General features: G+C 34.7%; 1 protein-coding gene across 17 annotated transcripts in view; it reads right to left on the bottom strand.

Annotated features, from left to right (window-relative positions):
• The window catches only part of FER (FER tyrosine kinase), a 448,945-nt gene that overhangs the window by 85,617 nt on the left and 339,985 nt on the right, over positions 1–23,343 (bottom strand). For all 17 annotated transcript variants that reach the window (NR_146155.2, XR_007058589.1, NM_005246.4 and 14 more), the window contains one exon: positions 10,706–10,829. Coding sequence is in view for 15 of the 17 variants with exons in the window: in NM_005246.4 (NP_005237.2) it covers positions 10,706–10,829 (124 nt within the window). In the remaining 2 variants the exon portion in view is untranslated. The remainder of the gene's footprint in view (positions 1–10,705; positions 10,830–23,343) is intronic.

The raw sequence follows: 23,343 nt of genomic DNA, 5'->3' as shown, positions 1-23,343 counted from the left end.
ACAAGTCATAAAACCAGAGACCCCAGATGGAAAATATAACCCTCTATAAATTATACACATATTTAATTTTACTTATCTCTCAAAATCAATGGGTCTATGAACTAGGATACTATTAACAAAGTATACTTCTAAAGATCTAGAACTTATTTGGGAAACATATGTCCAATTTAAATATAAAAAACTGTAGCTAAGACTCTGAGTGCCATTAATTTCAAGGTCTTCATTTTTCTTCCATTACAAGAATTACATAGTGTGATAAAACAATGCCAGGAGGAATGGTACTCTGTCCATCTTGCTCATGATTGTATCACCAGTAGCACAGCAGTCAGCATATAGTAGCGTCCCAGTAGAAAAGAAGCTATGAGTTATGTTTTTCTTTCATTTGGCTCATTACAGTTTGATGGAGTAATACGTTAAAATTGTTAGAATTACAAAATAGCATTAGGAGATATACCTAATGTTAAATGACGAGTTAATGGGTGCAGCACACAAACATGGCACATGTATACATATGTAACAAACCTGCACATTGTGCACATGTACCCTAAAACTTAAAGTATAATAATAATAAAATTAAAAAATATATAAAAAAGAATTCCACTGATTCTTCATAAACCTGGAACAGATCAAATTGCCATCAATTACCCCCACCTCATGTGGACTAAAAGCCACAGTCCTTTCAATGGCTTACAAGAACTTTATGATCTGGCCATGTAACAACTCACCTAATTTTCTGACCTTGCTGGCTTACTTTGACACACCTAGCATGCCCCTGTCTCTGTTCTATCTTGCAGTTCCAATGCTCATTGCCAGGAAGGCTCTTCTCACTGATATTCACATGGCTCACTCTTTTATCTCCTTTGGGTCTTCTCTTAACACCCTATATAAAATGGTGCCCATCTCCACCATCCCTTTCTCTTTTGTCCTATTATCCTCTATATCACTTTTTAACACATGGACTATTTTATATTTGATTATTATTTTTTAAAAATATGTTTATTATCCACTTTCCCCAATTACTAAAGTTCCCTAAGGGTAGAGCTTTGTTTCATTCATCACTGTAGCCAGAGAATCTTGAAGAATGCTTGGCCAAAACATACTCAGTATTGGTAACACTTAGCTAAAGGGGTAATGAAAGTGAAGTAGCAGACTATGGAGATATGAGTGGAGTCAGAGATACAGTGCCTAGAGACAGCCCGCCTTTAACTTTGCATTTTTCCCAGAGTAAGGATTCAACCTTGTTAACACCGGATTTGGCACAAAAACCAGTATAGCCCTATGTTTAAAACTTTACATTCAACAAACCTACATAGATGTATAAGTACACCCTGAATGGGAGTATAATTAGCAAGAAAATGAGCATCTCAGATTCAACAAGGCCCTACCCTTTTTAGATAGTGTCACTATTAGAAACTCTGGGGACCATGGTAAGGTGAATTGAAATATCGTGCATTTGCTCTTGCTTTATGTGGCTATCTTTTTCTGGAACATTTCTGTATCTTCAGCTAAACAGACAACTTAATCTAATCTTAAAATGGTATGGGCGTGTGTGGTTTCTTCTTAAGTTGTGGTCCCCCTGAGATGCTGTGGGGAGTGGAAAGCCTTCAGATACTCCTTTGCTACTTAAGTAGCCTTGCCTTCTCTAACCTGAATCAGTGTACTGGAGTGAATATTATCATCCTGATTTTATACTGGAAGAAATGAAGCATAGTAAGTAACTTCATTCACTCATTCAACAAATTTTTGATGAGCAATGACTAGAAGCTCTGTATTGAGTACTAAGTAATGGACAAAATAAAGTCAATGTCCTCATGGAACTTGAGGGGGAGTTGGGGGAGATAAGCAATAAAAAGGAAACCAGTTATTTTACATATGTGTCTATATAAATACATGCATAAGCATATATACATGTGAATATATGCACATACATGTGTATGTTTATATAAATAAAATAAACAGGTGATAGTAAGGACTATCACAAAAAATAAAACAGGTTATGGGTTACAGGGAATTCCCAGGTGGGGAGGAGGGGAGGTCTAAAATCACACAGCTAATTTGTTGAAAACCTAGGATTCATGCACAGAGCATTCCAGTTTCAAATCGGTGGTCTTAGCCACGATGCTGAAGCTGCTAACTGCTCTGCAAATGCTTACACTTAATAGATATCAGAGTTGGCAATGTGGATGGAAACAGTCCAGACTGGCACAGAACACTTTAAAAGAGAAGCCTGGGACTGAAAAGGATTTCTTGTAGTGCTTTTGTATTTAATAAAATGATGAACAATATTTTAAAACAATAATTGGGCAAAGAACCCAGTAATTTTTAAAATTGAGAGTCAATGTCCAGCTAGAGTTCTCTAGTTCTGTATGTTGATTGCTCCAATCCTGCCTTGGAGGCCAGAAAGTAGGAGATAATTTGCAAGCCAGAAGGTCAAACTTGTTTCTGCGTCATCTATGTTCTGATGAATTCCCCAGAATTTGATCAAGACTAACTAGAAAAAGTGAGTTACTTTATCATAAATCAGGTTTGACTTGAGAACATGAATTCTCAAATCAATGCTTGAACCAATGGTCAGCCAAGTTTTGGAGATAATCATGAACCCAATTCCACTGTACTGAGATTGATCTCCTGCCTGTTGGATGGACTTGGTATGACATAGGATTTAAGGAGACTGAATGGACCAACTGGCAGTCCCTGTGACATGAAATGTGAGGGAATGAATCATCCCAGGAAAATACAGAGATAGGATCTATAAAAGATTCTCTTCTCCCTACAACAAGGCTTTCTCTAAATCAGCATTTATTAGTTTTAAGTTTGCTTCATAAGAGGGATATCCATATGGCTGATCATCTTCACAAAAGGGAAGAAAATGATAAATATATCTAATACATAGTTTAATTCTTTTGCTTTACTTCACAGGTTTTATCATCAGCTCAGAATAGGCCTGAATCTTCCTCTTACTAGCTGTGTGACATTAGAAAAGTTACTTACTCTTTTGTGGCTCAATCTATTCCATTATGAAATGTAGATTAAATAGTACCAATCTCATAGAAATATAAGGTTAAATGAGCATATGAATGTACTTGGCAAACAGTGAGCTCTCCATGAGTGTACGATAGCCATCTTTTGAAGCCTTTTAGTACATGCCCCATCATCTGAGAACTATCCCCTTGCACACAAGAGATTGGCTCCTCTAGCTCTAGGTAACAGTGACCCTGCACACTCTTTTCTGTCTAGCCATGTTATTAAAATTGGGATAGACATTTAATATAAGCTGGGCCAATTATTTGTGTCCATAATTTGAAATTTGAGCTCAAAGACTAATTAATTACCTGCAGATGCTGGGCCTGGCAGGTTATATTAGCCTAAATGTCATTTGAGGGCCCTTTGCAAGAGGAGTGGAGGAATGTAGTCTTCAAGGTGAAAGGGAAAATGAGCAGCAACACGTTAAAAAGCATTAATGAAACTCCAAATGAACACACAGGGAAAGACAAAAAGAGATCCTGCCTTGGTCCCTGACTGCTTCCCGGTTACTAGTTTCAAGAACTCCAAAGCCTGGCTGAACTTTCAGTCCTTGAGTTCTGTGAGATAACCCCATAACTTTCCTTATGATAAAGGAAACTAACACAGGAACAACCAAATATTGCATATTCTCACTTATAAGTGTGAGCTAAATGATGAGAACTTATAAATATTAAGAATGGAACAACAGACACTGGGGTCTACTTGAGGGTAGAGGGTGGAGGGAGGGAGAGGAGCAGAAAAAGAAACTACTGGGTACTAGGCTTAATACGTGGATAATGAAACAATCTGTACAACAACCCCCTGTGAGATGAGTTTACCTGTATAACAAACCTTCACATGTACCCCCTGAGCCTAAAATAAAAGTTAAAAGAAAAACTCCTATGGCTTAGTTTCTGTTCCTTGTAATCAAATATTCCCTAAAAGAAAAATGGTAACTGTAACCATTTGTAATTGTTTAATGTAAAAGATCACTTTTTTGACATTCTGAATCCAAAATGTACTTATTGTAATTGACTGGAAAAAAGTCAGAAATGAGGAAGAATATGAGACATCAGCCAATTTTCTCTTCTATCTTATCTGTGTAACACAGGACATGGCTAGCCCTAACTAAACCATGAAATAGCCTTAATGTACTACTATTCCCTTCATTCCTTCTCCTCTCACTCTCAAGGACTTTCAGTGTGCTCAATGGACTGCCCTTAAGTCCTCAACAGTCTCTGCATATACTGCATCTTTCCTACCAGTAACCATAAATAGTTAACTACTGTCCTCTGACCCTTTACTCCAAATCTCTCATTTTTGTTTTCTAAAGTAGCAGCTAGATATGCTGGTACATTAACCCAAGCCAAGATGTTAATTGGCTAACATAAAGGAAGGTCTCTTTTTTCATTCCTGGAAACATATTACACATGTGTCTTTAGGGAAAAGTCCTTAATTAAAATGAGTGAAACTAGTGGTGGGAAATTTTTACCCTGAATAAAGCAGTAGGATAAAAAATTTTTATAAAGGTGTTCACTTACATTATCTTTGTATGATAATTGCACTGCATATACAAATACCAATTTGTAACAGGAAAAAAGGGTTAAAGAAGGACTATATATTCTTAATACATTTAAAATTATTGAGCAGTCCTCTCTGTATTATAGCAAAATTGGTTTCAAAGCTAAAAATAAAAATACAGCTTAATATATTCAAAATTGTAAATCAAATGTCAGAACAAGAAAATCAGTCATAAATGCTTAGTCAACTAACTGAGATTATCACATCTCTATGTTAATCCTGTGTGTTTAATTAACAGATAAAGCATAAGGGGGCATTCTAAACAACAGTATATAAAAATGAAAAAAAATTCAAACTCTTATTAAATAGAGAAGCAACAACAAAATGCTCCTGCATTTCAGCAACTGTTCATTAAATGATAAAAACATCTTGGTTTGTCTTTCTAAAATTATGTTTCACAGCCTTCAGAACCCTCTTCTGTTTTTGCTCATGATCATTACAGAGTGCAGATGTTAAATATAAGCTTAGTCATCACATCAAATACCATTCGGCCTTCTGCCTTGACTTTCCTAGGTAATCAGAAGATACCTCTGTTGTACAAGGCAGTAGAGTAGATTCAGTGTGTGGCCTTAGAACCAGAGTGCTGAGATTCACATCCTGAAACTACCACTTGTTTTTAATATGATCTTGGGCACGATACTCAAACTCCCTAACTGTGAGTTTCCTCATGTGTAAAACGGGCTTAAACAATAGTACCGCTATTGTTTTGAAGGTTCATTCATTTAGCTTCAATTGCTAGGCACTGTTCCAGGCTTTTGGAATCCATTAGTGAACGATATGAATAAAAATCACTGATCTCAGGAAGCTGACATTCTCAGACATTGCATCTAAAGCACTTAGAAGAACTGTGTCTAGTACTCAGTGAGCCCTTAATAAATGCCAGCTGTTAGGGTTACTAATACTTGAATGAGACAGAGCAAAACACTGGCACTGGAATTACAGGAAATGTGTCAGAATGGAGTCAGCACATTTAGGACCTAGCAGTGGCCCAGCCACTAATTGTTTAGGTGACCTTCCTTTAATCTCTCTGGGTCTCAGTTACTTAAAGTGGTCTTACAGTGCCTTCAATTGAGTATATGGTAGATCACGAGTGACAGAAATGATGAAGGGTTCAAAACGTCACAGAAAACATTTTATTTTATTTTTATTTATTTTGTCTTTATTTTACCATTTAAATGATTTGAAGGTGCACCAAGGACAAAATACTTTTTCAGTATACTCACAGTTTAGGAAAAGCTCAGACACTAGGTAATCATTTTCAGTACAAAAATAGAGAAATAAATCCTCAAAGATCATCGGGAAAAATGTAAATGGTCAGAAGCATACCAAATCTTTTACTTAATAAAATATGAAGTCTCAAAACACACACACACACACACACACACACACACACACACACACACACACACAAATATAAGCTGGAAGCAGTATCTTACATTTAACTAAAAAAGTACACATAGGTAATCCTTATTAGAAATCACTGGACAAGGCAATCTCTTCTAGAATATATAAATGAAATATAATATTACTCTCTTCCTGGCAATCTTAGCCTTCCTAAATTAGTTTTCCCAATGAAGCTTAAGAATAATATTAGTCTTGGCCGGGCGCGGTGGCTCATGCTTGTAATCCCAGCACTTTGGGAGGCCAAGGCAGGCGGATCACGAGGTCAGGAGATTGAGACCATCCTGGCTAACATGGTGAAACCCTGTCTCTACTAAAAACACAAAAAAATTAGCCGGGCGTGGTGGCGGGCACCTGTAGTCCCAGCTACTCATGAGGCTGAGGTAGGAGAATGGCGTGAACCTGGGAGGCAGAGCTTGCAGTGAGCCGAGATGGCGCCACTGCACTCCAGCCTGGGCGACAGAGTGAGACTCCGTTTCAAAAAAAAGAAAAAAAAATATTGGTCTCATATACATTTTCATGAGATTATACATTTTTTAGGGTTTTGTAAATTTTGTTCAAATTAGTTTTCTTTTTTCAGTTAAAATTCATATTCGTTCAACAAAATGTCCACAATTAAGTCAAGCTCTCTCTTACAAAGCATTGTAACTTTGCTTTCAATTTTCCTTCAGTTGGAATCTTCTTACTCCTTCTATTCAGTGACACACCCATCCACCAAGTCTCACTCAGAGGGTATCCTCTGCAAAGTTTCCCTGATTATTCCCATCATCGTCCCCATACTGACAGGTCATATTAGACTCTCTTGATATTACTCCCAAAGAATTCTGTAGATTTTATCACAAAATTGACTATCTCTTTGCATTATTGTTAACTTTTGTTCTATCCATCTGAGGGCAGTGACTATAATCTTCATTTTGGTAGCCCCTGGCATAGAGTAGTCAACTGCCCACATTTGTGAAACACTGGAAATATCAATGTCTTCAATGCATAAGCAAAACTCTGACTGATTAATAAAATAAATGTGGTCTAATATACTTTAATTTGTAAAGTTGTTAGCTTACTCCATGATAAACAAAAATCACTGTGTTAGAGCAACCAAACATGAAGAGAATCAGTATAGAGTTGAAAATTAGAAAAAGAAATCATATTCTACCTAACCCCTCCAAAATATATCTTTTCTGATATTGACAATGACATACGAAATTAAGAAATGTTCCCCAAACTCCCCATAAATTGTGGGCTTTCACTCAAGTATATGGCAATAAAAAGTGTGTCCTCCTTTTACTTTCTGAAGATATCAAAGAACAATGGCACAAAGCCAACTTTTAGAAATAAACCTGAATAAAAACAAATTTGGCAGTAGGATTCATCAAGAATAAAACCATAAATGAATGCCATTACCATTAATATCAAGTATGTCAATCCTGACTCCCCTTAACTTCAAAATCAGAGTATTCTTTACAGATGACATCTAACAATCTAGTAACATACCTTTGTAAGTAAACATACACACACCACAAAGTTTATCAGTGTATTTCAAACAGTTCATAAAGTACAAGTAGGAAAGAAAATTTCACACTGGCCTACAGAATAGTTTTAAATAAAATGCCGTTGATTAAAACTAACCCAAAATTCCAACTATACAGCAATCCTCAAGCTGTAAACAGAAATAGTTTCCACTAGAAACTTGTAGCAAGAGAACTCTTCTGGAAGTTAAATGGAAATTACAACAAGAACACTTCCAAATGCAGGTCATTTCTTAATGCAGTAACCTCTTTCCATTTTATAGTTGTCATAATTGTTTTCCTATAATGAAACACTGCTCTTCTCATATCAAAACAATAAAACAAAGCTAAAGAAAGAATATGTGTCCTTAAAAGTTAAAAACACTATTTTGGGAAGAGACAATTGGAAATATTTTCAACTATATACTGAGTTCTAGTGACCTCCCGTCAGTGAACAGGATAAAATTTGTAAATTCATATAAAATTTAAAGAAGATTTAAAATTTTTGCTAGAATTTGCTGGACACAAAGCTTGGCTTTGTAATTCATAGACATGCATTTATTTTTGTTATGTTTTGGCATATAAAAATGAGACTTAGAACCTTTCCTCATTACCTGAAAAACTAAAGGGAACTTTCAATCATGTTTTACATTATTTTAATTCATTAAAAATTTTTTCAGTGAGGAAAAAACTGTTCACTGTAGTAAATCCTATATTTTTTTTCTTTCATATTTCTTAGGAGCAAAAACACATAATCTATGTCTTAACTCTACATCAAGTAAAATTCTATTGCAACTACTATTTCCAAAGAAAGAACTATGTAGGCTGGCACATAGGAACAGGGTTCTACAGCACAATTCACTACTATAAAAAAACTCAACACAAAGAATAATTTATTTTATCAATACAATAGTATGAATTGGTGAAGTACTAAAATGAAAAAAACAATGTATCCAAAAGAGCATTTAATGAGTCTGAAGAGGAACAAAGGACCACTAGTTGGGAGATATCATAAAATTCATCTAGCACTCAAGATTAACAAAGGAAATAAGAAACCAGATAGTTTAGAAGAATTAAATGAAAGTGATTAAAGAAAAACATTATATTGTTGCTAGTAAGGAAAAGTCATAACAAACATTTTTAAATGTCAGAAAAGTATTTATGAGAATAAAAACAAAAAGAAGATATTCTATGCCAAGGATGACAAATTTGGGGCGTGTGTGTTAATACTCGTGAGTACCCTGGCAGATGTGACTAATTGATCACTGGACTCTTTATGGCTGTTCCTAGAATTCTTCTCAACATATACAGGGAGAGCCACTACCATTCACTAAAAGTTGGCGCTAGTGTTGAAACCTATTTGTCAAACCCGCTCTCACTGACATTGTTCAAGATGTTCAACTGGGAAACCTTCCCAGTAGGCAAATGGCATAGGTCTATGCACAACCTGCTAGGATATGTGGTCAAGAAAGGGTTAACTTTCAAAAATTTGTGAAGGCATGAAAATTCTTAAAAAGCAAAGTGGGAAAAACAACATTACAGCAGATAATATTATGATTTAGAGAGGGAAATGAATTCAAAAAAGCTAACTGCCATCTACAATGTAGAATAGTTTCAATTCTCATGACATAGGCATTTATACAGTGACCCATTTTTTAAGAAAATAATCACTACAAAAAGTAGCAAGAGATTGAAACAATGGTCCTCTCAAATGCAATGTCCCAGAAATTAAAGAAGAGTCATGGTAACTGACAAATTAAAAAAAGTTTCAATAATGTGTATTTATTACAGTTTAAAGCCCACAGGCGGTCTAATGGTATGAAATAAATCAGAGACAAAAGGAGTAATTACCAGAGAGAATTTGAAGCACCTCAATACCTCGGCAACCAAAATTACAGATTTTCTCCAAATGAAGAGCAAAACCTTTATGGTTAATTTTAACACAGTGTTGACCACTAATGAAATTAATGGTAGTACAATTTTTATCCAGAATCAAATGCTTTTTAAGTCAATTCTTATCATGTGATTCAATCTACAGTCATAGAAAGTAAAACAGAAATGCAATGATAATGTCTTATTTTTAGTTAATTTCCAAAAGAAATATCTCCATAGAAATGAATTTTAAAATATATGCAATTGTTGAACCATATTTAAAATACAGGTCATAATTATAGTTTCAGAATAAAGCTGAACACTGAGTAAAATTTGGGGTGAGCATGGGGAAATTAAGTCAAAAATATCTATTGAGATCAAATAAATGTATAGTTAAGGTGATGGTAACTTTGTTTTCCTTTAATTATATATTATACAACCTCACTAGAGTGTTAAAGCAAAGCCTGGACAATGATTCCCCTCAGAGAAAAGTATACTTCAGTAACAAAACCAGTTAGATAAAGTGTACAACAGCTCACTCTAGCAATGAACCTTGCTCCACATTAAACAGTATTATGCACAGTTTCTGGTGCATAAAAACTGCATCAGTTCTCCACTTCATTGTGCTTATTTATACTTAGCCATATTTAGGATCTGACATGAATTCTGCAACAGATCATAAATTGTACTGACATTTAGCACTAAAAAACAATTCCCGCTACAAGCAACTAAAACCACAATGTATAAAGCATTAAGACCAGGTCACTACATACAATCAGAACAAGTTTCATAAAATCTCCTTTGAAATAACTAGTATTTATTTTCTCAATACGATGCCATGAATTAGTGAGGTACTAAAATGAAAGAAAAATTAATTTGTCCAAAAGAGCATTAAATGAGTCTGAAAATCTTTTACCCTTGACCAAATTCACTGTTATGAATTGCTGTTTTACTATTATGCTTTTCCATGACTTCATATGTAATTTCTTTGGAAAATGAGAATAGACAACACATGAAACAATCTTATCTGATTATAAGGCTGTAGTTTCTTATATTACTAAATTGTAGTACATTCCATGTCACCGTTGTTCATGATTATAATAAAACAAATTCTAACTAGTAGGCAAATGACTGTCTAATTAGGTACTCACTTCAAGTAAGAGGAAAAAGGAGTGTTTGTATAAACTATATAAACAACTAGCAGAGGACACTTTCACACAAAATACAGAAAACAAGAAAAGACATGTTTCATGAAAGAAAATGACTTCTATTGTAGCAAATACATCAGTTTTCCAGCATTCTATTAATAAAACCAAAAATTGCTTTAAAAATGTTCTCCTTACCTGTGTATACAGTTTTTACTCTCGAGATACAACATACCAGCAGCAGCGTCTAATGAAAATTTCACTAACTGTTTGAGTTTTAGTTCATCCTTCTTCCTTCTCAGAAAGGTGAGGAAATCACCTCCTAGAGGAATTGATAGATGAACAATGAGACAAAGTTATGATGAAAGTCACATTTATCATCTATTTGGATCTATTAGGAATATTTGACAGAGCAAAATGCATTACACATTTGGCCATGCTTTTTGCCCAATTTGTTTGACGTGAGGATAACAGAAAACATGAAAAGAACACAACATATTAGAAAACAGACACCATAATCTCTTCTAGATACCGTTTAAGTACTTTAAGTGTTTCATATTGTACATTATCCAGGTCATAATAATATACAAAAATCATACTTTTTCCTTTATCACTGTTTTTACCAATTTGCTTCACTAAAATCTATAGAATTTGCTTTTCTCTAATACCACATGAAAACTATATTATTATGAGTCAAATATGAGTATGTAAAAAGTAAATTATAAAAGCTAATTACAAAAAAGTAAATTATATGGATTAGCTATTAGATTCAGTGATTGCTTAAAAAATTAGACTATTCACACCAACATAACTGATAGCAGTGTCCGGACAGAGAGAAAAAGAAAAATGCTATGATTTTGGCCTGATTTACTCACTGACCCAGAATGTATTTTTATGTATCAAATAAATTCCAGTGAAGTCTTAGAAAACCTTCTTAAACCTTTATGGTCCAAGACATACATAACATGAGCTAAGTAGTAATTTGAAGTTTACTAGTAGCCACATTTTTAAAAAATTTTTAAAAATATTTAAAAAGTTTTTTTAAACCGTGCAATTTATTTTAATAATATAGTTTTCTTGAATCTAACATATCCAAAACATATCAACATATGTCAATATGAAAATTTTAGTTGAGATATTTTACATTTTAAAATCACACTCTTTGAAATATATTTACTCTACATTTATGATACATCTCAATTTAGATGTAAATTTCATCTGAAATATCTGATCTATATTTAGATTTCATTAAATTTACAGCTGAAAAGTAGATTCACATACCCAAGATGTTCCAAATATGCTTAAAATTTTCCAATTACTGAATCAATATCAGTATTTTAATTTAAATCAATTAAAATGAAATGAAATTAAAATTCAGTTTTTTAGAAGCACTAGCCACATTTTAAGAGCTCAAGAGCCTCATATGGTCAGTGACTACCATACTGACTAATGCAACCATAAACTTTGCATTCACTCTTAACATTCAAAGCTTTGGCTTATTTTTCTTTTTAGTTACTTTATAGTTTATTGCACTATTAAAAAAAGAGTTAAAGTATATTAAAATATACGTTCTCTAAAAACAATCTTTCCCACTTTCTCTATTAGGCCCCCAGATATTAAGCCAGAATTTTAAAAGAGAGATTAGCATTTTATTTGCCATTTCTAGACTATTTTTTTCTTTTACTTTCTTCACCAGGGATCTATGCTTTCTTAAGTAGAAAAGCTATAGAGGTGAAGACTTAGTGGCTTTTTCCTTAATGAGAATACCTAGAAAATAAACATCTGCCTAACTCTCCTTTAAATATCCTCTTCTTTTCTAACCTTTTCTCTTATTCACAGATTAAGTATTATACAAATTTAGGTGAGCCATTAACAAAATCAAATAAGCTATATGCTTTAAACATAAACTTAACGGTGTCAATTTTTTCCTGTTATTTTTAAGAGAATACCAAATATATTAAATTACCAGGATGATGACTGAAATAGTTTCTATCAAGCTTTACTTAAAAATCGGAACAAAACCTGATTTCAATAGTGAAAAGTAAAATTCCACTAATTTATCAACTTTAATAGGTACTAAAATGCCTATTAAAATAGACTTGAAATTAATATTTAGTTCAAGCTATTACTTGAACCAATATTCACATATTAATTCTTTTGTTAGATATATGTAACTGCTTTAGAAAACGTGTACCCTTCTGCTTTTGAAACCACATAGTATTCTGTCTGAGCTACAGACTAACTTTTAAATGAAATGATCTTTTCTGCAATTTGATTTAAAAGCAGCATATGACATAACCCCAGTGTTGTTCTGTAGAATCCTGATACTTTTTTTCCAGTTAGCACTTTATCATCTGCCTCCTGCCTTTTAAAAATTTACTTCTTGATATAATACTTTGTACTCCCAACACACATTTGTTATTCAACAAATTATTTAACAAATAAACTATTATTCAACAAATTACCAAATATTGTTTAATAGTACATAATATATTAATAAACAAAGAAAAACACTACACTTAAATAGCATTAAATAATGAATGAAAAGTGATGTCCAGAAAATAAAGTACTAGGAAAGCAGAGCTATAGACAACTCTTTCCAAATACTGTAACATAGTCAAAGATACACAAGGGGTTTCTGATTGTTCTGTAGTTAATCCAACAATATTTCTGCCTTAGAACAATTTCTTGCTTCGAGTCATTAAATCTAGGAAAGTAAATTTTAAATTTATTTCCAATTTATAGTTATTTAAGCCACAGATATACAAATACTAAGTAAAGGAACACAATTCCACCATTCCACAAGCCTAGTCAGCTTTTTGTAGAAAACTAGAGGGAAGCAAGGACCTCAATAAAAATTAAATAATTATGAATCATTATTGAAAGCCCAAGCCTTCCGCAAGTACAAGTATTAAGAACCCTGAAGCAAGAAATAAACTCCCCAGGAGGCAGAATATGGGACTAAAGTTAGGACACCCAGAAAATAACTCAGACTGGGCCAGAGATATTCCCTTAGCCACAATACTCGATTATCACCACTAAGTGACAAACTGAAGGCTGATATCAGATGACATAGTCTTTAGTGTTCACTGTAAAGTTATTTTAGAAGGCAGAGCCTGTCCTTTTCAACTTGTTCTTTTGTCATTTTCATTAAGTGCCAATACAAAAACCTCTCTTAGAATTTGTGATATATGCAATATTCATACATGCAGCACACAGGTATATATGCATATGGATACATATAGCATACAGTATCCTACCTGACCATTGCAATAAGGATCTTGGTGCTCAAAGTAGGCAAAAAAAAGATAACTCACACCCCTTTTGTAATTCTGCTTATCAAGACTTTTTTCTGTATGGGTATGTTGCACATTAAACCAAAATGGGATAGGTTATTTCCTAGAATTCTATAATAATGATAAATTTCTAAGACAATACTTACAATGTTCTTAATAGTCAGCTTATGGTTTACTAGGGAGATAGCATGACTTGGTGAAAAGACATGGACATTTAAGTCAGACTGACCTAGGTCTGATTAACCATGCGGCTTTGGGTAACTGTTTAATCTTTCTAAACTTCTGGAAAACAGACATTTAATACCATTTATTTCTCAAGACGGCTTTGAAGACTAAAATGTATTTAAAGTATCAAGCATGTGCCTAGCACACAGTACACACAATAAATACTATTACTATTTATTATACTATTATACTTTATATAATTATATATTTATATTTATATATTTATTATATATTTATATACTGTTACAAATACTATTTACTATTTATACTATTACTATTATTGTTGTTGTTATTTTGTAAAAAACAAATGAGAAAGGGTTGTAGTAGGGACTTGGTGTTTGCTGTATAACATCTATTTTCCCTGATTCATCCCAATTTCCTTCATGAGACTGCCCCTCTACCATTTTGGAGGGTATTAACCTGACTTAACCTGACCCTCAGTAATAAGGGTGGTCCTAGACTGGCTTAGCCCAATCAATGAAATCTCTTCCCCTGCCCAAGTGATTGGTTCAGGAATAGGCACAAATCTTAAGAAGATTAGATAACACTGAGAGGCAAAGATGCTTGAAGAGTGAAAGAAACTATTTTTTGAGAGAAGTGCCAGGAAAGAAGTACAACCAGACATAAACATGACATCACATAATATCGTGAAGATTGGCAGCCTTAGGATGAAAGCATCCTAAGATGCATTCACGGAAAGCAGAAAAGAGTGAAGATACTAGCCATTGGTGACACGCCTGAGCCACCAAATTACATACTGCCTGTAGTGTGACTTGCCTCTAAGTTTTTCAATTAACTGAATAAAGCCTATAGAGTTTTTTATACATCTTCTGTATTAGCAATTTGAAGATATCTAACGGATAAGATAATATCTGTATCAGAAGGTCACTTTGAGGATTAAATATATATATTAAATATCTGAAACAAGTAGAAGTGTTTATTATTGTTTGCAGCCAACTTTTAATGAGATGATAGGTGGCTATTATTTTCAACAACTGTTTCTCAAAGATTTCTGCTACTCTGTGCTGTGAAAATTTGATCTCACCTGTTCTTTCAGTATTAATGGGGCTCAGAGGAACCGATCACACTAAACATAAACTCAGTGAGATTATTATGCAACAAGAATATTAATTTATAATTTGTAATTGGAGAGAAGAGATCATCAGGGCAATGCCACTAATGACTTCTTGTCATTGAATCATAGGGATCTTAATTTATCTTCAACAAACTTCAGAGTTTATTCAATTAAGATATATCAGTTTCCCAGTGATGTATAAAATGTATAATTAATTACCCTTGTTTTTAGGATACCAATTTGTTTCCTGAGAAGTTTGGTTTAGCTACATTCAATTATTTGTTAAAAAATAGGCTAGTAATCAAGGCAAATACTAAATCATAGAGAACTATTTTGGGGGTCCATTTATGTCATTATTCAGAATTCTTATTTTTAAAATGTTTTGCTTTTTAACCAGCAGTGATGAGAATTATGGCTGTTAGCCAGCCCATCAGAAATGACGGGGAAAAATCGATATGACAAATATAAACGACAATGAATGCTGATGTAAACTGCACCCCATGAAACACAGAATAGATTTCATACAATAGGATATAAACCCAAACAAGTTCCTGAAGAGGAGAGGACCGATGCAAACACTAAAGCAGAGGATACTGGCTGCTACATATAGGGTATATTTATGAGAGATGGGCTGCACAGAAAGGGAGATTAGCCAGGAGAGGGCTCTAGTTGCTGAGTGGGGTGATGATGGCTTGTAGCATGAACAAACCATAGAAACAAACTGAAACATTAGGTCTGAAAAGACTCAGTAATAAGCTAGAATTGGGTCGGTTTGTGGGGCAAGATGAGGAAGATTAAATACTAAAAAACAGAAAATGACTCCAAAAACATACTGGCTTTCCTGATTCCTTTTCCTTCTTTAAAAAAGTACTTCCTGAACAGCTTGCTACCCAAGTAACAGACTTCAGCTAGACCAAATGCAGAGCTGAATGTGTGGGTTTCCTAATTTGGTCTAATAAATATCATCAGTCTTTTCAGATGAGGTTCATCGATGGTCATGTTCTGCTAACACTAGAATAGCACGAACCTTTTGCATTTTTCCTTGGCAGGTGATTTTTGAGAATATAACCAATAGCAGTTATGATAACAGTTCTGTAAAATAAAAGAGTACATTTCACTGTATTTTTAAGTTGCTTGTTCAAGAAACAACAGCTATACTCTTGCCAGACATGATGCAAACTGCGAGGAGAGATGCCATAGTCAACTTTGACAAACACTCAGAATGTTTGCATTAGAAGGGACTTTGGAGATAATCTAATTCAGCCTTTTCATATTACCGATGAGGGAACTAAATTTATTTGACTTACATTTTTAAGGCGGTGATTTTGGTGATATTACTGAAATTCTAAGGCTAAGTGTCTGCAAACCATGGCCTTGAGCCCAATCCAGCCTATTGCCTGTTTCTGTGAATAAAGTTTTATTGGAAAACAACCACACTAATTTCTTTACATATTGTCTATTGCTGCTTTCATGCTATAATGACAGAGTTGTGATGGCCTGCAGAGTCTGTATGGCCCACAAAACCTTAACATTTTATTATCTGGCCCGTTATAAAAAAAATTTGTCAACCACTGTTCTAAGGTACAGATAGAGTAGTATCTCTTATATGAAATGACTTGGACCAGAAGTGTTTCAGATTTTGGAATATTTGCATTACAGATTGGTCGAGCATTCCAAATCTGAAAATCTGAAATGTTCCAGTGGGCATTTCCTTTGAGTATCATGTTGGCCCTCAAAAAGATTTAGATTTTAAGGAGCATTTTGAATTTCGGATTTGGGATGCTCAATCTGTATTACTCAATTATTCCATATAGCTGGAGCTCCTTTCACTGAAATAATGCTTATGATTGTTTTGTCTATTTTCAACCAATATTTTACTTTTCACTCTGTTTTTGTAGCACCAGAGTTCAATAGTACTGTTATTTCTTAATTCTCAAAAAAAAAAAAAGCTGGAAAGGTGGATTTATCAATTAATTTTTTATGTCTGGAGGCTGATACACAAATTTACACACAAATACACATGCACATTGAGACCATAAGTCCTCTGCCACCCTCCCCATTCACAACCCACTGTTTGCCACCAAGGCAAAGAAGTTCGACTGTCTGCCTCTCTCCCTACTTTGATGCTAAACTACTCATTTTATATTTTTGGCTTCTTATCCCTCTCAAAGTTGCCTCTGATAGACAGTGTAAAAGCAAGAATGAAAAAAAAGGAAAGTCAGATGTATAATATGTTGGCTCGAAACCCCCCAGGATACCCTTCAAATACTTAAATGCTACAATGGTATTTTTTTAAACAAAAAGAAAAATCAATGGAATACTACATTTTGATACCTATCTGCTACAGTAAAACCTGCAGAGAAAAAAAGAAGGCATCAATTCAAGCTTCCTTACATTTTTAAAAGAGATGTGAGATAAAATGACATCCACAAATACATTTAAATTTAAAAAGGGTAAAATATTTACAAATGTCAACAATATTTTCTGAAATTGAATGTATCATAACCCAGATATTTTAGGGATATTAAGATCCCCAAAACAATGATATCAGTGGATGTCATACAATCTTATTAAATAATTAAAAACAGAAAATGTCATACAATCTTACTATTTAAATAATTAAAAACATAAATTTTCATATTTATGAGAATGTGTTGGTCGTAGTCAGAATTTACACAACGTAAAGATTTTGATCAGAAATACATTCACCAATTATAAAACTACTTCTATCAGATTACAGAAATATTATATTGAAATAATACTTGTAAAGAACACATTGCAGCAAGAGTTGGGAATGTCTGTATTAAAACAAGTCTGAATAAACAAGAATCTTCTTTCTCACTTTTTTATTGTGGTAAAAACCACATAAATTTACACAATAAATTTACTGTATTAACAATTTTTAAATGTACAGTCCAATCTTAACATATTACATATTGTTGTACAACACATCTCTAGAACTTTTGGTTTTACTTGATTGAAACTCTACACTCATTGAACAACAACACTGTTTTCCCTTCCTTGCAATCCCTGGTAACCATCATTCTACTTTGTTTCTGTAAGTTTGACTACTTCAGATATCCCATATAAGTGGAATTATGCAGTATTTGTCTTTCTGTGGCTGTTTTATTTCACTTAGCACAATGTTTTCAAGGTTTATCTATGTTGTAGCATTTGGCACAATTTTCTTCTTTAAGGCTGAATAATATTCCATTTTATATATATACCCCATTTTCTTTATCCATTCATCTGTCCGTGGATATTACACTGCCTCTACTTCTTGGTTGTTGTGAATCACACCGAAATGAACACAAGTGTAACCGTATCTTTTCAAAATCTTGTTTTCAATTCTTTTGAATATATATCCAGAAATGGGATGGCTAGATTATATGGTAGTTCCAGTTTTAATTTTTTGAGGAAGCTCCATACTGTTTGCCATCACAGTTTTACTTTTTCACGATTATAACGGCAATGCACAGGATTCTGTTTTCTCCACATCCTCTCCAAAATTTTTTATCTTCTACTTTTTTTATAGTGGCCATCCTAACAGATGTAAAGTAATACCTTATTGTGGTTTTGATTGCATTGTCCTGATACTTAGTTATACAGAAAATCTTTCAATTTGCTTATCTATGTGTATATCTTCCTTGGAGAAAATGTCTAAGTCCTTTGCTCATTTTTTAATTGGGTTTTTTACTTTTTGTTGTTGAGTTGCAGGAATTCTTTATTTATTCTGGATATTAAACCTTTATCAGATATGTGGTTTGTAAACTTTTCTCTCATTCTTTAGGTTGCTTTTTCCCTCTGATGTTTTTTTTTTTTTTTTTTTTTTTTTTTGCCATCATAAGGTTTTTAAGATTGATGTACTCTCCCTGTCTATTTTTGCATTAGTTGCCTAGGCTTTTGGTGTCATATCCAAATATCATTGTCCAATCAAATATCCATGTTTTCTTCTAGCAGTTTTATACTTTCAGATCTTACATTTAGGTCATTTTAGGCAACTCCAAGATAAAGGTGTCAGCAGGCTTGGTGTCTGGTGAGGGCCTGATCTTTGATTCCAAGCTGGTACCTTGAAAGCCGTGTCCTCTGGAGAGGACATACACTGTGTCCTCACATTATAGAAGGGATAGAAGGGCAAAAAAGGACCCCTAGCTAGTCCCTTCCAGCCTTTTTATAAAGTCACTACTCTACATCATAATAGTATTTCTTAATAAATAAATTTCTTAATAAATAATAAAGCTCTTCCCTCTTTATTTATTCACCTCTGAAGGCCCCACCTCTTAATATTATCACATTGAGTCTTAGGTAAGAAGTGTGTGTGTCCAGGGGGTCAGGGAGGATGTTGATTCAAACCACAGCATTTGTCTCCTGGCCCCTGAAAGTTCATGACACACCAGGGTGGGGTATTTGCCCCAAAGACCTTGGGTAGCCCTACACTCATGGCTTGGCTATGTGCAGTGTACATTGCCGCTCTCAAGGGTTGAGGCTGGGTGCCTGCAGCTCTCTCAAGCTGGCTTTCCATGTTGGTGGCTCTACAGGTCTGGGGTTTTAGGAGTAGCACTGAGCCCCTGACTGCTAGGCATTGCTCTAGTCGGGGCTCTCTGTGGTGGCTCTTTGCCCGCGGCAGTTATCTGTCAAGGCTCTGAGGGTCTCCGTGGAATCTGGGTGGAGGCATCCATGCTTTCACAGATGTGCACACTGCATACCTGCAGTTAGCACCATATGGACACCACCAAGGTTTATGGCTTGTACTTTCCAGAGGACAGCACCTGGGCCCACAGGAGCCATATCTGGGGTGACCAAGGAACACTACACCAGGATGCAAGGATTAGAAACTTGAAGCATCCCTGGAAAACACCCTCCAAGGTCCAATGGGTTCCCCAGCCCCCTTAAAAGTGTACTGCCCTCAAGGTCCTGATAATATGGGCCTATGATGGGAGTGGCAGCCTCTAAGATCTCCAAAATGCATTGTTTTGATGAATAGCCTCTGTCTTCCTTCCATCCAGACTAATTTCCTTATTAAATTGGTTCAACCACACCTTCAGTGGTTTCTCCCATTCTTTTACAACATGGTAAGGCTGACAATTTTCCAAATCTTTATGCTCTGTTCCCCTTTTGATTACAAATTTCATCTTTAATCTGTATCTGTCTTCTCACATTTTCCTAGAAGCATTCAAGAGAAGCAATATAGCACTCCAAGCTCTCTGTCCCCTTCTCTTACTTTTATCCTTTGAAAATCCCCTAATGTGTATATTGGTCCATGTGATGGTGTCCCATAAGTCCCTTAGGTTTTCTTCACTTTTCCTCCATTTGTTTTTCTTTTTACTCCTTGGATTTTGTAATTTCAAATGACATATCTTTGAGTTTAATGATTCTTTCCTATACTTAATCAAGGCTGTTGCTGAATTCCACTACTAAATTTTACTATTCAGTTATGGTATTCTTTCACTCCAGAACTTCTGCTTAATTCTTTTTTATAGTTTCCCTCTCTGTGAGTATTCTCATTTTGTTCATTCATTGTTTTCCTGATTTTTTTGTTTAATTGTCTGTGTTCCCATGCAAAGCACTGAACTTTATATTGAATTATTTGTCAGGTAATTAATAAATCCCTGTTTCTTTGGGGGTTGGCCTGTAAATTTATTTTGCTCCTTTGATTGGGCCATGTTTCCCTGTTTCTTCATGTGTCTTGTGATTTTTTGCTAAGTTTGTACATTTACAAAAACAGCCACCACTACAAATCTTTATGGATTGGCTTCATACAGAGGAATATATACACCATTTAGTCCAGCTAGATATTTGGGGAATCTCTGAACTCTTTTTGGGGGGATGTGACTTGAGATTGTGCATGTAATTTCCCACCTAGAGAAGTTTGCAGTTGTCTTTTTTAAGAGCTTGTAATCTCTCACTCCATTTGCTGTCTGCTGTACTACCGCAGGTTCTGTGGCATTGCCACAGCAAGTCACTCTGCTCTCCTTGGTTCTCAGTGCCCCCAGTGATCCAAAGGCCATTGGCTCCTCAGCAGTGGTGAGTAGGCAACACAGATACCAGTCCTTCAGACAGACCTCCAAAAAACCAGAATACTGGATGCACACTCCACTCATCTTCTTCCCTCCTGAAGAAGAAACCACAAGTTGGGTGCTTCCTCCGAAAGGCACTAAGCCAAGCCAGACTTTCTCAGCAGCACAGTAGGTCCTTTGGTACCACAGGAAGCCACTTCTACTCTCCCTTGTTTTCAATGGATTCAGGCATCTAATCTATGCTTGTTTCATCAGTGTTTGGGGTCAGGTGAGACAGAAACCAGTTCTCTGGGGAGATCTCTGAAAAGGTGGAATACTGGCTAAACATTTCATTCTCTTCCTCAAACCCAGGAGAAATTGCAAGCTGAGAAATATGCTCCTGGCACTAAGCTATGCTGGCTTAGTAAAGTCAAACTGCTTTTTTCACTCATTTCAAGATGGCTATTCTTGGCTTTGTACTTGCCCAGTGTACTGCAACTTCTTATCTGGTTTCTGGAGTTCTCATAAAGTATTTTAATCCATACATTGCTATTAAGTCAGTGTCTCAGTAGAGGATCAAGGACTGAGACTTTCTATTCTGCCATCTTGCTGATTTCACCTTCTCCTTTCTCACTTTTGACTTACAAAATGTTGGCCAGTATGCTACAAGGCACTAGCACTTCATCATTTTCACATTTCTTACTGAGATGCTGCCCTCCTTAAAGTCAGTGGTAAAAACCATTAGTCAGCCCTTTGTACTTCAGCATTTGTTTACAATGCTTCAAAAAATGTGAAAGGGGTAACAATTCCATCTTAGTGGTATTTCACTTTTCACTATGTGTTTTCTCTACCAGGGTTCAACAGTACTATTTTAAAAAAATTCTCAAAGAGAAAGCTGGAAAGGTGGCTTCACCAATTTCTAAAAAATGTGATGAAGCTGATACATTTATAGACAAATACATACATACAGTGAGATCATAGATCTGCCACCCACCCTATACACAGCCCACTGTCTGCAACTAAAGCAACAAAGTCTGACTGTCTCCCTATTTCCATGCCAAATACAAACTGCCATTTTCACTCTTTAGGGATTATATTATACACATTTGAAAATCACTCCTCAGAAATCTAGGGTAGCCTATTGCAGAATCTCTCTTAACTTTGTGAGTCACTATCCTTAATACCTTTTTCTTTAGATGAACCACATGTCTCAGTGCAGGTATCTTCATTTAATAGTTTTCTCTATAAGAGGCTGTTCTTTTTTTAAGGAGGTCTTGATAACTTCATCCATCTGGGGTTATATGAATTGTCTATAATTCCCCTTGAATGATACTGGCTGACTCAAGGGATAGGGTACTACCTAGTAGGTAATCCAGAAATAAACAAATTAGCCCTTTATATAACTTACTCTTAATTTTATAAAAGGATTTATTTAGCTTAATGATTTATGCATATGGAAGAGCATTAATAATCTTAGAACAATAAAACTTTGACTTCCTCAATTACTGGCTATGTAAGAAAAATAATACTTTTCATCTTTGTATCTTTGCAATCAGCAGATAATTCTCTTCCTTTTCTCACCTCAACCCCAATGCTCAACCAAACCACATTTCTGGAATACTGTTCACCTAAAAATTTTCTGATGCTACTTAGATGATTCTATTTGTACCTGAGAGGGAGGAAAATGCCTGCTTAAATATTTCCCATTATTGATTATCAGAAATAACATTCCATCTTTTTAAAAAATGATTAAATAATTTAGTACCTTAAATACAAAGACAGAGAAAACTACTGTGGAACCAAAAAGCAAACAAGAAAATTAGATTAGCAACTTACTGCCTGGTCCAAATGATAAGCCTAGGAGATATAACTGTTAAGTTCAGCCTAGGTTTTAAAAACAAAAGAAGAAACAATGCAAATGGGAACCTACCAATTCAGAATCAAATGCTTTCTCTCTAGATCTGTGGCCATGACCCGTAATATGTAATACATTTTTCACTATGATCCCAAGTGCAAATACTCCTGTGTGTATAAAACTGAAGAAATATTAATAAAGAAAGATTTACTATGGCCAATATATTCTTATGTCTCCTACTGTGTTTGATTTGTAAATGCATATGAAAACCACTAAATTCATTCCATTACCTATTAATGGGTCATGAGCCAATTACTAAAAAACATTGTTATAATACTTTATAAAATTAGATTTTGAAACATTCAGGGACTGTCCCTGGGACAGAAATT

Source organism: Homo sapiens, chromosome 5, assembly GCF_000001405.40.
Source record: "Homo sapiens chromosome 5, GRCh38.p14 Primary Assembly".
In the NCBI taxonomy this organism is placed as follows: domain Eukaryota; kingdom Metazoa; phylum Chordata; class Mammalia; order Primates; family Hominidae; genus Homo; species Homo sapiens.
The sequence above is the reverse complement of the archived record's forward strand: the minus strand, read 5'-3'. Positions and strand labels throughout refer to the sequence as shown.